General features: G+C 45.1%; 1 protein-coding gene and 1 non-coding gene across 3 annotated transcripts in view; both read right to left on the minus strand.

Moving 5' to 3' along the window:
- SCD5 (stearoyl-CoA desaturase 5) overlaps positions 1-16638 on the minus strand; it is a 169258-nt gene that overhangs the window by 110405 nt on the left and 42215 nt on the right. The window lies entirely within an intron of this gene.
- MIR575 (microRNA 575) lies at positions 13394-13487 on the minus strand. The gene has a single exon (NR_030301.1). It is a non-coding gene; the product is annotated as a microRNA 575 (primary transcript).

The following is a 16638-nucleotide window of genomic DNA, read 5'->3' on the forward strand; positions in this document are numbered from 1 at the left end:
CAACAATCTGCAGCCTGAGCCTGCTCACCTGTGTCGGCTCAACACCAGCCCAGCCACTTCATGTCTCAGCAATCTGACCTGCCCTTCAAATATCACCAGCCTCCAATGCCATTCCTGCTGGGGGCATCTGATGGGAAACACAGGTCCTTTCAACTTAAACTCGAGATAAGCACACATAAAGCATCTACCCCCTAAGGACTTTAGCAATTATTTTTAAAATGAAAAACCTGAGCTTTGAATGTAGCGCCCAAAGTAGAGCGGAGACATGGAGGAAATAATCAACTTGATTCCCTCTTCTGTCATTCACCTCTTCCAGAAACCTGGAACCTGAAGGCGAGGTTGTTTTGCCAGCACCCAGCACCTCGCCTTGCTGTTGATCACCTTCCCTAGGAGCACAAAAGTCAGAGGGGAGAAAGGATGGGAGTGCAAGGTTTGTCCACTGGGGCAGGTGGACGGGGAGGATCTCAGGCTGGGTTTGGGTATTATGGAGCCAGTATCAGGCTAACATCTCATAGTGTGGCTTTAGCCAGGCCCCAAGGGGGAATCCAATCTATAGTGAAGTTCATTTTCACAATAAGCTTTGGAGGGTATCATTCATCCAACTCAGACAGACATATTGACTTACCGATAACTTCATTAATGAAAGCACCTGCCTGGCCTGGAACCCTATTCTCTAAACCAAGGACTCCCAGTTCCCAATGTGTGGTCTATCCCCTGCAGTGCTTTTCCAAGGTCCGCCACAGTTGGCTCTACTTTCTCTCCTCCCTCCTCTCAACTTCTGAATCTTTCTTTTCTCTTCCTTCTACCCTTCCAAATGTAAGCAAAATGTAAACCAATGTAGAGATAACTTTTAATTCTTCCCCTAATCCTTTACCCCAAATCTGCTCAGAAAAAGTCTAGAACCAGAACTGACAGAGGCAGAATTCTGTGTTAGAAACTATAGGGGAGGGTGAAAGACTAAGACTAAGGTGGAGTCTCTTTTCCCAATTCTTTTTTTTTTTTTTCTTTTGAGACAGGGTCTCGCTCTGTCACCCAGGCTGGAGTGCAGTGGTGCAATCACAGCTCACTGCAGCCTCTGCCTTCTAGGCCCCAGGCCCAAGTGATCCTCCCACCTCAGCCTCCCAAGTAGCTGGGACTACAGGCGTGTGCCAGCTAATTTTTTTTTTTTTTTTTTTCGTAGAGACAGAGTTTTGCCATGTTGCCTAGGCTGGTCTCAAACTCCTGGGCCCAAGCAATCTGCCCGCCTCAGCTCCCAAAGTGCTGGGATTACAGGCATGAACCACTGCGCCCAGCCTCTTTTCCCACTTCTTATATCTAGGCTGGTCTTGTGGTTTTGTTTGGTCAATAGAATGTATGAAAGTGATGCTGTGTGACTTTCAGAGCCTGGGCCTTGAGAGGCCTTGGAGCTTGCACTTTGGTCCCTCGAAACACTGCCATGCTTGTTCTGAAAGGAAACCATTGTCACCTACCAGGGAATGAGAAGCCATGAGACAGAAAACCAAGGCGCCCAACCAACAGTCAGTGCCAACCACCAGCTGTGTGAGTGACGGCAGCTGCATGAGCCAGCCCAGGTGAGACCAGCAGAGGAACTGACCAGCCAGCAAAGAATCATGAGAAATAGTCTATCGATGTTGTTTTAAACCACTCCATTTCTGGCTGGTAGGCAGCAATAGAGAACTAAAACACACACTTTTGCCTTTGTCTCTATTGTTTATGGAATGAGATATTAGAATAGGGCTCTTTCTGCCTCCATTTTAATTGAGGCACCAATATGATAGATATCAGATACCTACATGACTGTGAAACAGACCCCCTTACACAGAATTCACAAAGGAAATTATTGAGACCTGGCTCCGTCACTCTTGGATGCCTCCTCCAGATCAAGGATATGAAAAGGGGTCAGAGTGGGCGGGGGGGGGGAGTGGGCAGATAGGTGAAGAGCTTTTGTTGGGGGAGCTGTTAATGAGCTGTAGTGTCCCCCTTAAAATCCCCCAAAGAAAGATGGGCATGCCTGTAGTCCCAGCGACTCAGGAGGCTGAGGCAGGAAAATGGCGTGAAACCGGGAGGTGGAGCTTGCAGTGAGCCGAGATCGCACCACTGCACTCCAGCCTGGATGACAGAAGAGAGTCCGTCTCAAAAAAAAAAAAAAAAGAAAGATGGGCAAGAGTTGTATCTTCTTCATTCCAAGCCCAGTCAGGCAGCTTGTGTGGACCACTTGGGGAGCTTTAAAGTAGTTTCACTACAGCTGGAACCAGCAGACATTCAGGTCCCAGAGGCATGCCTGTGACACCCAGAGTGGGCCATGACAGCAGGCTAGAGGGGCATGCAGGAGCTAGTCTGCCTTTCTGGGTTTTCCTGAGTAGAGTGTGCCCTGGGGACCAAACGTGGCCACTCAGAAGAGAGAGCTGGTGTGAGGTCTGACCGGGTCCTGTCTCACAGGGCCACCTACTGGAGAGGCAGAGAGACCCCAGCAGCAAGAAACTAGAGGTGGGCACAGGATTGCTGGGGTCTTAGAATAAATAAATCCCCAGATAACACCTGAAATAAAGATGCACCTTTCTGGCCGGGCATGGTGCCTCACACCTGTAATCCCAGCACTTTGGGAGGCCGAGGTGGGTGGATCACTTGAGGCCAGGAGTTCAAGACCAGCCTGGCCAACATGGCAAAACTCCGTTTCTACTAAAAATACAAAAATTAGCTGGGCATGGTGGCTCATGCCTGTAATCCCAGCTACTCAGGTGGCTGAGGCATGAGAATCGCTTGAACCTGAGAGGTGGAGGTTGCCGTGAGCTGAGATTGTGCCACTGCACTCCAGTGAGATTCTGTCTCCAAAAAAACAATGCATCTTTATATGTCCAGACAATTACAGGAGAGAGCTCACCAATGATGCGGGTCTCTGAAGAGCCCACCACAATGTCCAACATGTCAAACACTGGCCAGGCTCAGGGAGTGGAAAGCAACCTTTCCAATTCCCTTATCCCTAACTCCCCAATTACCCACCCAGTCCTGGGGATTCAGAAACTAGCTAGCACACTGAGAATGTGTAAGGAGAGAAAGACGCGTAGACAGAGAGAAGCTACAGAGAGGCTCCCACCTAGCCCCCAGCCCTTTCCACTGAGACTCCCAGTTGGATCCAGGCCTGAGATGAGAAAGGGGATGATAAACATTAAATCAAGTTCAAAGGTTCGATTATCAGCTTGGGCTGGTCATTCTAATTTCTGAATTGAGACAGAGCTTGTAACTTAGAGTGACAGGAGGATAGTCTATTTCCTAAAAATTAGTTGAGCCAGGCTCAGTGGCTCACACCTGCAATCCCAGCACTTTGGGAGGCCGAGGTGGGAGGACTGCTTGAAGTCAGGAATTCAAGACCAGCCTGGGCAACACAGTGAGATGCCCGTATCTACAAAAAATAAAAAACAAAAATTAGTGGGGTATAGTGGCTCATACCTGTAGTCCCAGCTACTCAGGAGGGTGAGGCAGGAGGATCTCTTGAGCCCAGGAGGTCAAGGCTGCAGTGAACTGTGATTATGCCACTGCACTTCAGCCTATTAAAGTATAAAAGGGCAACAGGAAAAAAGTTATATATATATATTTTTTAATTTTTTTTAGATATGCCACCCAGGCTGGAGTGCAGTCGTGCAATCACGGGCTCACCGCAACTTCTACCTCCCAGGCTTGAGCGACCCTCCCACCTCAGCCTCCCAAGTAGCTGGGACTACAGGCACGTGCCACCATGCCTGGCTAATTTTTAATTTTTATGTAGAGACAGGGTCTCACTATGTTGCCCAGGCTAGTCTTGAACTCCTAGCCTCAAGCAATCCCCCCCGCCTTGGTCTCCCAAAGTGCTGAGATTACAGGCATGACCACACCCGGCCACTAACTTCTTTGTTGTTGTTGTCACTGTTGAGACAAGGTCTGGCTCTATGACCCACGCTGGGTTGCAGTGGCACAATCTCGGCTCACTGCAACCCTCCCAGGTTCAAGCCATCTTTCCACTTCAGCCTCCTGAGTAGCTGGGACTACAGGCACGCACCACCACACCTGGATAATTTTTCTATTTTTAGTAAAGATGGGGTCTCTCCATGTTGCCCAGGCTGGTCTCAAAGTTCTAAGCTCAACAGATCCGCCTGCCTCAGCCTCCCAAATTGCTGGGATTACAGGTGTGAGCCATGGCGCCTGGCTGAAAAAAGTTATCTCTTGATTACATCAATAATTGTATTTGTTGACCATGATAGTTACATTTATTTTGTCTGTTTACAATTTCTCCCAAATATGTTTTAAAAGACAAAACAAAATGTTTTGATCATGCAGTCTGTTCCCCAGACGGTTACCCATATTTCTTTTTACTTATATTATCCTCCCACTCATACAAACTAGGAGGGTTTAACAACTTCTCCAATCACCTGATTACATTTACTCAGGTACAAAAAGTCCCTAACTGCTCATCATTTAGGACACAGCAGTTACTAATGCATTAAAGTTGGAAATAGGTTTCCCCAGGCACTTAAGGCCTTGGCAAGCTGTATCCCCACGACCGTGGGAAGAGGTCAGTACAGGTATCTGTTGGCTTAAAGCCAGTCTCACTTGTCTGGAATGCCCAACTTCATGCTGGCTGCCTGCCTAAGGGCTTTCAAAGACTGAAATCTGTAGGTGAGTTTTCAGACTTCATGCCGGGAAGTTGAAATCTAATAGAGAAGATGGGTTGGCAGAACTTATGTCTGAACTTCCAGCAAGTAAATTTTTATAAATAAAAGATGTAATTAATTATTTAGCATCAATAACATGCTTGAAGAATTTAGGTATCACTTGCTAGTCTTCGAGAAGTTATTGCATAATCATAGAGATGCATAATGCATGAAGACATGGCCCCACTAGATACCATCTTAGGAGAGAGACTGGGTGGAGCGAGAGGGAAAGGGATTGCATTTCAATCAATTATTTGGAGGTGATGTGTTGCATTTATTCATGCAGTATAATAAAGCTGAGGTGGGAAAGTAACATCATTTTCTTTTCTGTAGAAAGATACGTGAGTAAATGAGGACAGGGAGAAAAAACAGGGGTATTGAGCCCTATTTCTGGCTATGGAAAAAGTGCTAAGTGCTGTAGTCATTTAAATCATGTTCCCACAGTCAGTCCTCAGGGCTAGGATTCACCACCCCAGGAAGAAATCTTGCAAGCTATCCAACAAAAGATGTCACAGGGTGGACCTTGACAAAAATCTTCAAGGTCCTCACAGTCCTCAGCCTCGCTGGCACTGATGTCTGATCCGGTGACTACATTTCTCAAGAACCCATTTCTTGGGGACAGATTCACATTATCTAGCCTCACAGCCTAAACCAGAGAGATGGTTTTCTAATTCATGGGGAGACTCAAAAGTCCACGTAACCAATACATTATTTCCCTGCAGGCAGACCTCAGCGGGAGGCCAAATCCTAAGCAGTGACTTGCTGGGTGAGCACGGCTCAGAACAAGGAGAGACATGAATGGAATGTTTCAGGCACCAGGCAAAGGCAGGCTGATGTGTCCATCTCACAACAGAGAGGGTCTAACCCAATGTTTGTTTGTTTTTTCCCGACTTTAAGTTCAGGGGTACATGTGCAGGATGTGCAGGTTTGTTACATAGTTAAAATGTGTGCCATGGTGGTTTGCTGCACAGATCATCACCTAAGTATTAAGACCAGCACCCATTAGCTATTCTTCCCAATCCTCTCTCCTCCCACCCCTGCCCAATGATTTTTAAACTTTGTGTTGGTACCCATTATAAAGTGGTGAGATCATTTCATGAATCACACCCAGATACCATTTTTAAAATTAAAAGTATGGAGTATGGACTCAAATGGAAAGTATCAGATAATACTGCATATCACTGAGGTAGGTAAGAGGCAGTACAGAGTGGTGGTTAAGAGGCTAGACACTAAATGCGGGCTAAGTAGAGTCAAATTCTCACTTTGCCAAATACTGGCCATATCACCTTGGGCAAGTTATTGAATCTCTCTATGCTTCAGTTTCTTTGTTTGCAAAATGGCAAAAAGTATAGTACCTGTCTACTAGGTTGTTCTAAAAATTAAATGACTTAATATCTATAAAGGGCATAGAGCAGTGCCTGGCTCACAATAAGTGCTATATGAGTTTTCATTTTTCTTAAAAATTGCTTTATGAAACTGTTACCCACAGTCCAAAATACCAGAACTGAGATCCTATGGCAACTGGAGTCACACATGCTGAGCAGTACCGGAGAGAAAGTGGGGGACTGAATCGTTTCCATTATCACTGAATTAGAAAACTATGGAAGCAATACCAGATTGCAGGAAAATGGGAACCAGAGGAAAATACTCAAAAGGACATCCCAGATGACCAGGCTAGAGCTCTCTTAGGCTGAGGAGTGGCTTTCAGCCAATTAAGAGGAAAAGTGTTTTTGATGAGATGAGACTCCATAAATGTGTCTTTCCTGGAGAGAATTCTCATTGTCTGATGTACACTTTGCCCTTTTTTCTCTCTTTGGCTTTCATCTGAGACCACGATGACATATTTTTATGCTCTAGTTAAACCTGAATTTTCTCTCTTCAGATCAATCAGGTTCTTGTCTTAATTTCTTGAAGCATATCAGCTGTACCAATTGATTATTGCATTCCATACCACAAGCCCTTCCTTCATATATTTTTCTCTATTCCACAGAAGTCTGGACAAACAAAAGGTGACTGACAAGGTAAAGGCAAGAGACCAAAAGTTTTGAAGACATTTGAAGAAGACATGATAGAGTAAATGGAAAGAGTCAATATCCAAGCAGAACTAACATTGATACGGGAAAGAGCAAGGGAGGTGCTGAGTAGAGAAGAGCGGGGTCCCTGGCAAGGGCTCCACCCTTGGTCCTGCGCCCATGGACCCAAGCGAGAATAGGCACTCCCACTTTTACACTCAAGGGTTGCATTTTCCAAGACCCCTCTGGCCTACCACACCCCCAATCCTGTTGCCATATAAACCCGAGACCTTAAGTGGACGCAGACACAAGGGCGTCAGGGGGAGAGGAGGAACGGGGAACACACCCACAGACCAGCAACAGTGGAATGACACAGGCACCAAGGGGAGTTCGGTTGGGGGGCAGTTAGAGAAAAGTCTGGGCAACCTGCCCCCCAAGAAAGACGACCTTCCCACTCCATCCCCTGCTTCTGGCTCCCCATCCATCTTGCTGTCCATCACTCCTGTCACACTCCTGGCGAGGGGGAAAGGGAACTCCCCCATTTCAATATTACTATAAATATGTATATTGAGCACCTACTATGTACCAGGCACTGTGCTAAGCACTTTATAACCATGCTTATTACAATCACTCTGAGGGATAGATGATATTCATTAGAAATGCAAATGAGGAAACTGGCACTTGGGAAGGTTAAAGCCTGCCTGAGTCTCACAGTTAATAAATGTTAGAGCCAGAGCTCACACAGACTCCCTGGCTCCAAAGCTCATCCCTTTCTCTTACCCACTGCTACAAAGGTTTTAGAACAAGACCCATTGGGTCTAAATTCCAGCTCTACCACATATTAACTACTTAACTTCTCCAAACCTCACTTACGTTTCTCTTATATAAAATGGGGGTGATAACCGTAGCTTCCTCACAGGATTTTGTGAAGATTAAATGAGCTGTTTATTAAGGTATTTAAAATTGTGGCTGGCACACAGTAAGTGATCAAACAGATACCAGCTGTCATTTTTGTTATGCCAGCCCTTGCAAGGCTTCCTATAATTGCAAACATTATGGATTACGATCAGCAGACCAGGCAGCCATCAATACGCCATTGGCCAACTGTCTTTGCACCTCTCTTTCTATAAAAGGATTTCCCATGGTACTTCATTCCTGCCACTGGCACTAGGAGAAAACAAGAACCATAGGGGGCAAAAGCTTGGAATAGTAGGGTTAAAACAAGGAAACCAGCAGCCACAGAAAGGCTGCAATTCAGACCTATGGAATCAGGAAGAGAGAGAGGAAGAGCTGATCTTTGAGACCACAGTTGAGCTATTCTCAAAAAGGACAAATTCAATCAATTGTGGAAGGCAGGAAGATTACTGCTGAGGAAAAAAATGAATTACTTGGGGATTTAAGTGAAAGCTTTTGTTCATGTTGCTGTATGAAGCAGTAGTCCCACAGAAGAGCAGAGGACTTAGGGCTGGGAGGAATTTAATCAGTTCCTTGAGCCCATTTTAACCTAAAAGAGAAATAATTAATTTCAAGTCTTAAATGGGAAGTAGAATCTAGACAGAGTCAAAGCAGGGAAAGGGAAACGATGAAAAGGGCCCATCCATTGTCCAGAAACAAGAGGGAAACACTTGCCCCTGGGAGAATTGATAGACTCAGGCCTAGGCATGCCTTGACTTTGAGCAAGCACAGGGCACGGGGGAGAGGAGGGGGAGGGGACACTCAAAAGAACCTTCATTATTTCTACCCAGTGTTTCTTTGGACCAGCTGGATGAGGACGTCACATTCAGCTGTGTCTATTTCTACTTAGCCAAGCCAAGCATGCCAGGAATTTAAACGTTAAGTTTAAATAATCAATGGGCAATGGTGTTTAGTCTTAACACCTGCCCAGCTGAGACTTAACACATCTGCTGCAATCCCTGAGGCACAAGGGCAAAAAAGTTGCAAAGCATCTTTATTACTCCAGAAAAGTGGAATTAAAGAGTATGTTCTTAAGTCTGCAGATGGTTACCCACTATGGACGGTCCTAACCTACTCTGAGGCCCAAGAAATGGTACAAGTGAGTTTACCGAGGTTAGGGGAAGAAGAAAACAAAATGGGGAGAAACAAAGAATGCAATTTGCTGCATTTATCAGTAGACTGCAGAACTGGTCCAGTTTAGTGGGGCATCCAGTAATGTACTCTGAACTTCAGTGGAAAAGGCCAGGGGAAAGAGACAGCAGTGGCTCTATCTTCGTCACCACCATCACCAATAAGTATTCTTCTCTACAGTGCATGAGTCACTAAATGACACCATTTTCAAGCAGCTTACAGTCTACTGTGTGGGAGGAAAAGATAGCCTCCGCCTCCCCTGAGCTCTTATGGGGGCAATTCGACTAGGTCTAGGAACCAGCCTGACACAGGGCAGGTTAACGAGAAAAGCATACAAGTTTTTATTAGTTTTACTTGTACATGAGGCTCTTCACAAGACAGCAAAGTTCAAAGAAGTGGCCAAGGCAAGCTAGTTTTATACTTCTGAGACAAAGAATGATAAATTTGTGAAGAAATGACAAGGGGCTCTGGATAGAGAGTAAACTCTAGGGAGTCGCTAGGAGATATATGGAGGGTGTAAAGCTAGTGGAATATAGTGGTTACTTCAGAAAGTCTATTTATTCAGGCCTGTTGCAACACCAAATCCCAGTCCGGGGTGATAAGGAATAGTCTCTCACCCTGGTAGGGAAAAAGCACCCCTTCCAAAAGAATCTTTATGGCTTGCTACAGGCAGGAAAATACAGGCCAGCTAGGCTTCTCTTAAAACTACAATTTCTCCAATGTTTTTAGATCAAAATAATGAATATACCAATTTGGGATATTTTGGGATGGCACATCCTTCACTCCTTTACTATTTAAGAAAGTAAAACATTTACATAAATAGAAAAGTAAATAACAACACAAGTTGGGCCAAACAGGCAATGTTTCCTTCTTAGAAACAGCTCAGTGTCTTCATATTACAAAAACACACATCCCACTTGGTGGACAGAAACCATATCGTGAAACTAGACTCAGAGAAATAGTCTCAAATACCAACATTATACAACTTCACTCTAAATCATCCAACTATTTCACAGATTCATGTTGAAGGACAGTTGTGATACTAACACATTAGAAATCATTGCTTTAGAAGTCATTAAAGAACTATATGCTGTTTAAAGCTGTCAACTTTAGTCTCATGCTGATTTGGGAGTTATTTATTTGAAATGACTGGGCTTTATACCCCAAGCACATATTATATTTATTTCAGAGGCAATGTTAAGTATAGTGGCTAAGGGTAGGAACTCTGGAATCAGACTTCATGGGTTCAAATCCCAGCTCTACGTTTATTAGCTGTATAACTGTAGCAAGTTACTTCCCTGTGCCTTGATTTCCTTATCTGGAAAAGTGGGAATATTAAGAGGATTTACTGTGAACAATTGTAGTGGGGATTACACAAAATAGTCCATAAAGTACACAACTCAATGGATCGCACACAGTCTGCCCACAAAAATATTTGCTTTCATTAATATTATCAAGTAAGGTGGCTGAGAGCCAGAGTTGGCATGGGATGGCCATTGGGAGGGCCGGGGCACTTACAGACATGGTCTTCCACATTGATAACTTTGAGATCCATCTCCCCATCCTCTGTGTTTAAAGTAGCTGAGTCGACAGACTGAGAACAAGGAGGAGCTACCTACACCCTGCAGGAGTAACACAGGACCAAACACTATCTCCAAAACATCTGTGTAACAATTACTTCTTCACACATGCAAGAAGTAAAGGGAATAAAAAGACATTCAAAATTAGAAGCAAATAAGCACACTTTGTAAAGATTAAGAATGTAATGGTGACACTGACTGCAAGTGTCCACCCAGGCTAATAAAATTACTTGGAGAAAAAATGTTCTTCAAGATCCAGGGAAGCCATGGAGAGTCTTTTGAGTCCTCGAGAATATGGCTTTACTTTTGCCAGCCACAAGAGAGCTGCTTGTAGCAAAAAAAAAAAAAAGTCATGAAACCAAAAGGCAGTTCATTATGTCTGTTTAAAAGAAAGCACTGTTGGAGAAGAGGAAGCTCTGACGAAACGGTCTGCTAGGTGGACAGGTAGGGAGGACTCAGAAGTCCATTTTACAGGTAGTGAATCTCATGTTTAAGGCCAAAGTGAAGTTGTTTGCCAAGGGCTCTCTAGCACAGAGTTCCTCTAAACCTTGGGCAGCAAATGCCAAAGAACTTACCTTTCCCAGAGTTCCCCAACTAGTGAAACATTCAGCAAGTCAGCCCAGGCTAGGCTGGTTTCTTGGTTATATGCTCTTAGATCCGTGTTCCCTCCTCTCACAGCACTTACATATTAACCTCTGTGACTATGTCTTCCTCCCCAGTCTTCAAATTTCATGAGAACAAGGTCTGTTTTTGTTTTCCATGGTATCTTCAGGGCTTCACAAAGAGCTGTGTAAACCCATCATAAAGCATACAATAAGCCCATAATAAGTATCGGTGGAATAAATAAATGAGCAAAATCAACAAATGTGTGACACAGAACAGGAGTTTTTCATTTAACTTGTATTTTAGAGACAGAGTCTCACTCTGTCGCTCAGGCTGGAGTGCAGTGGCGTGATCATAGCTCACTGCAGCCTCTAACTCCTGGCCTCAAGCAATCCTCCCACATCAGCCTCCTTAGTAGCTAGGACTACAGGCATGCACCACCATACCCGGCTAAGAGAAGAGGAGTTTGAGGACTAACTACTTGCATTCGACATTCATGGGGACATTTACATTGGGCCTGCATATTGATATTGCTTAAAATATGTTCTTTATGTTTCACTAAATCTTTAAATCTCTTAGGACTGAGAAAAGCCAAATCCTATGTACATCAGTCAGGGAGGTAAGGTCCCTATATATGCTGTTTTAAAGTTATAAATGTCTGTTTCAGAGCACAAGGATTAATAACTTTAAAATCTTTTGAATCTTTTACTTTTATTTAGTTAGTTAGTTATTTTTTTGAGACGGAGTCTTGTTCTGTCACCAGGCTGGAGTGCACTGGTGCAATCTCCGCGCACTGCAACCTTTGACTCCCTGGTTCAAGCAATTCTCCTGCCTCAGCCTACCGAGTAGCTGGGATTACAGGCACGCGCCACTACGCCAAGCTGATTTTTGTATTTTTAGAAGAGATGGGGTTTCACCATGTTGGCCAGGCTGGTCTTGATCTCCTGACCTTGTGATCTGCCAGTTTCCGCCTCCCAAAGTGCTGGGATTACAGGCGTGAGCCACCACGCCCAGCCTCTTTTCTCTAGATTGGAAAATATCTTTGTTAGAAAAACATTCCTCTCCTTTAGACTACAAATTGGAAGAATTTCTAAAAATAGAACAGTGACAAAACCCTGGATTGTGGATTTTAGCAAGAAATACTGCCCTGTTAAAGACCTGCTTTAAAGCAAAAGAAATCCCCATAAGTCTGTGGGCAGGAGAATCACCATCACAAGGCCTGAAGTATTTAACTTTAGTTAAATATAATTTTAAACCAGGAAAATCTGCTCATGTATGGGAATTTGTAGTTCTATAAGGATTAGGGAAAACAGAAGGCAGAATACAAGCAATATCTCTCAAGGTTGACCTTGAATTTTAAAAAATTATATATATATATATATATGCAAAATCAGGCAAGATCTTGACACTCCAAAATGGTGTCTGTGGCTCTTAGTGAGGTGGAAGCACAGGGACGTGGGAATAGGTGGGAAGAAGAGAGTCTTTTAAAACCAGCCAGCTGAAATGTTCTTGTCAATAAAGGCATCATTTTACTTCTTCTACTAGGTTAGGATGATTTGAAGGCCTGCATAAACCAAAAGCTGTCACTATAATTCAAGGATAATTGGAACAAATGGCTGCTTAGCACCAGAAAGAGATGGGGCTGAGGAGATGGAATCTTCCAGCCTTTGGGTTGTTCCAGGGAGCATGATCTTCACCTTAAATCCCAGCTGAACAATATCTGTCCCTTTTCCTGTCCCCTCACCAAAACTGGACCTGGAGAAGCCTATGTATTTGTTTGCATGGAATCCTCGCCCTGTGAGCACACACACATCCACTCAGTTCTTTCACGCTTCTCTCTCTTCCCCATTCTTCACACACACAGCTACATCTGTTTCCCTTTTTCCCCCTAAATAAACTTACTCCAGTGTTGAAAATGGATACAAATTGAATCCTACCCACCAAATACTGCATCACATTTTCCCAAAAATGACATGACTTTACCCCAGTGATAAAAGGGAGGTCCTCTTTGCTACCATTAAAATATATCTTTTACTTAATTCCCTGCCCTCTCCTCACCAAGAAAACTCAGTAAGGAACTGCAGGGACCTTAAAGACCATCCAGACTTTGGCTGTGCAGAGTGTGTTCTGGGGACCCACACCATCAGTTTGCCCAGGAGCACATGGGAAGAGAAGAATCCCCAGCCCCACTGAAAACCACAGGACTGGAGTCTGCATTTTAGCAAGATCCTATGTGATTCCTGTGCACATTCCAGTTTGAGAGACATGTGTCTAGGGAGCATGTCTCACCTACTTCATGTGAGAGTTACCTGGGGAGCTTTTACAGCCACCCAAGCCTCACCTGAGACCAAATTAATCCACATTCTCTAGATGGCTATGTGTGTTAAAAGCTCCCTGGGGTGGGGGTGGGGGGTTCTGTGTATGGCCAGAGTTGAGTGGCACTGCTCCTGTCCAACTGGCTCATTGTGCAGACAGCCTGAGTAGCCCAAGGTCATGACATAAGCCAGTGGCAGGGCTGAATTTAAAGGCACAAAGCAGTGCGCCCCAGAGTCACGCGGGTGGACTCTGACAGTGATAGTGTCCATTTCCCACATCTGCCAGGAGTGTGGCTCTTTGTGGGCTGAGTCACCTGCGGGGAAGGGTTTCAGGTTAGAATGTTCATAGGGTGTCACCCAAATCACTGTTTTTAAGCCCTTCTCTACTCCCAAAGAAGTCATTTAATTTGGCCTGGAGGATAGCATCAAAAAACTATGTAACCAATGATATTTCTGCTTGACCTGCCAAATGTGTATTAAATGCATCCATATTTGCCTCCCCCCTCAGCCATCTTCCCCTTTTCCCCTGACTCCAGTTTATAGGAAAAGCAGCCAGCACATACCCCCCTGACAGAAGTCTATGAAAATCCAACTGAGAGGGATTAAAAGGCAGACAGGGCGTATTCCATTTCCTTGAGGCCCTGGGAAAATGTCACATCCGAGGCTGAGCCAGTCCTGATGAGAAAGCCTCGTTGCTGCCAGCTGGGAGGGTTCAAGGTTTGCCAAGCACTGAAGACACTGTTTATGAAAAGCTTTAAATGTCAAGTACCCTGGCTCCTTAGGGTCCTCCCACAAGATAACGCAGTCTCTTGTCAAGCACAGACTCGCCCGAAAAATGAGACCTGAGAAAGGGGCAAGGCTGAGGCATCTGTTCAAAGACAAGCTTCTCAGAGGCCCTGGCTTCTTATGTGGAGGAAAACTTATCTCCCCGTTTTGCAGGAGTTAAGAAGGGCAAAAGAGAATGACAGTGCAGGGAGAGAAAGCGGGAAATCAGAAGAGAAAGGAGAAGGGAGAGAAGAAAGTGAGAGAATGCAGGAAGAGAGAAATGTGCAGATACTAAAAATAAATTCAAAGGCCCTGCTTTTCAACCTCCTCAGTTTTCATATCACAGAAAAGCAGCTAAATCTTCTGAGAAAGCTCAAATGCAAGGACTAAGAATGGGAAAGCAGAGAGAGGGAGGAGAAGTCCTTTCATCAAAATACTTAGGAATCTCAGTGCGTGGTCACTTGGCTGCCACAGGAGGGGTCTGGGTGGTCCTAAGAGGGAGAGGGACTCCTTCCAGGCTCCCCCCAGGACCCACCCTCCCCTCACCAGCAGCCCACCCTCCTAACCCGACAGGGAGGAAACCTGCTCAGTGCTGCTATTTACAATTTCCATTCAGGCAATCTTCACATTTTGGAATGGCATTTGCCAAGGGAGACGATCTCAGCTCCTCTTCTATTTTCAGGTTCCCTCTTGCATAGCGGATGGCATCAGTACTAAGCTCCAAGAAGCAATTTAGAAGAGTGGTTGCTGGAAAGTGGGGGAACCCATGCCAATCTACAGACCTGCAGAGCCTGGGGATGAAGCTTTTATTTTTAACACTGGGATCTGTGAGGCTGACCTATATTTCACTTCTTATATCGGCAGAAGTGACAAGCCTCGAAGGCCAGGGCACAGAGCTGAGCCTCAGGAGTCTGAGGCTTTGAACACTTCACTCAGAGGAACAGAAGCAACAAGACACCAAGCCCACCATGGACAGAGACAGCCGCTAAAACAGAAGGTGCCAAAGTGCCTAGGCTAAGGTTGCAGGGTGCACTCAGTAGACCAGATGGGAAGAACTTGATGTCAGTTTTACCTTCAGAACTTGGAAAGTCTATAGCCAGACCAAACTATGCAGCTAACAAGAAGATGGGGGGTGAGGATGGGGGTGGAGGTGGGCACAAATTGAAGGCCCAGGAAAGGAGAAAATGGGTAGGAGAATGTCGAAAAAATTAGGAGAGATGAAAGAAAGGGGCCAGGCATGGTGGCTCATGCCTGTAATCCCAGCACTTTGGGAGGCTGAGGCAGGCAGATCACCTGAGGCCAGGAGTTTGAGACCAGCCTGGCCAACATGGCAAAACCCAGTGTCTACTAAAAATACAAAAATTAACTAGGCATGGTGGCACACGCCTGTAATTCCAGCTACTTGGGAGGCTGAGGCAGGGGAATCATTTGAACCTGGGAGGCGGAGGTTGCAGTGAGCTGAGATCACACCACTGCACTCCAGCCTGGGCGACAGAGCAAGACTGTCTCAAAAAACAGAAAAGAAAGAAAGAAAGGGGTGGTGTAGATGTGGGGAGAGGGAATGTTAAATTTGCATATTTCAGTAGTGGAACCTGTCCAACACTTCAGAGTCCCTTGGTCAAACAGGCAGAAAAGAAGGCAGCATTAAACAATGCGCTCAAAAAGGATGGCTTAACACCATCAGATAATGTTTTTCAAAATACGTCTAGTCTCCACTATTATCATATTTCATATTTTATTTCTCCTACTCATTCTCAAAACCAAACCCTCTAAAGCATATTTGTCTGGCCAGCCTTATGATGACAAGTCTTCAAATGCATGATACCATGTTGAATTTAATTTTATGCCTGAAACACTAAAGGCTGGCACGGCTCCATTATCTTTTTGTCAAACCCTCACATTTTAATCTGCCATCCAGTCAGTGGACTGGAAACAGAGAAAAATCACTTCAGATTATGAAAAATTTTGACCCTGCACCACCAGAATTTGTTTAAATCAAATTGTCATCTAAATGGAAAGCAGTATAGTGATTTAGTGTTGGTGTAGAGGCCCTGTGGCTCAGTGACAAGAGGCTCCAGGAGGAAGGGCACAGCCTGAGATGCCTTCCTCCTCTGGGTGTCCACAGGCACATCACACTAAGCAGGTGTAATATGGAAACCAGCATCTCTCTCCACTCCCTTCTAGAATCATCAGTCAATGGCACCATCACCCACTCGGTCACCCAAGTAAAATTCCTGCTGGTGGCAGCAGTGGTGGGGATGGTGGGTCATCGAGACCCCCTCTCCTGCCCTCCTGGACCAGTCAGGACAGGCATGGCACAGTGATGATGAGAGCAGGCGCTGGAGTTAAACTACACGGCTGTGAGTCCCAGTTGGTTACTTGCTAGCCATGTGCCATTCAGCCAAGTCACTTAGCCTCTCTATGCCTCAACTTTCTTATCTATAAAACCTCTTTAGGCTGGGCAAGGTGGCTCACGCCTGTAATCCCAGCACTTTGGGAGGCTGAGGCAGGTGGATCACTTGAGGTCAGGAGTTCAAGACCAGCCTGGCCAACATGGTGAAACCCCATCTCTACTAAAAATACAAAATTAGCC

The sequence above is a fragment of the Homo sapiens genome, chromosome 4, assembly GCF_000001405.40.
Source record: "Homo sapiens chromosome 4, GRCh38.p14 Primary Assembly".
NCBI classification, from domain to species: domain Eukaryota; kingdom Metazoa; phylum Chordata; class Mammalia; order Primates; family Hominidae; genus Homo; species Homo sapiens.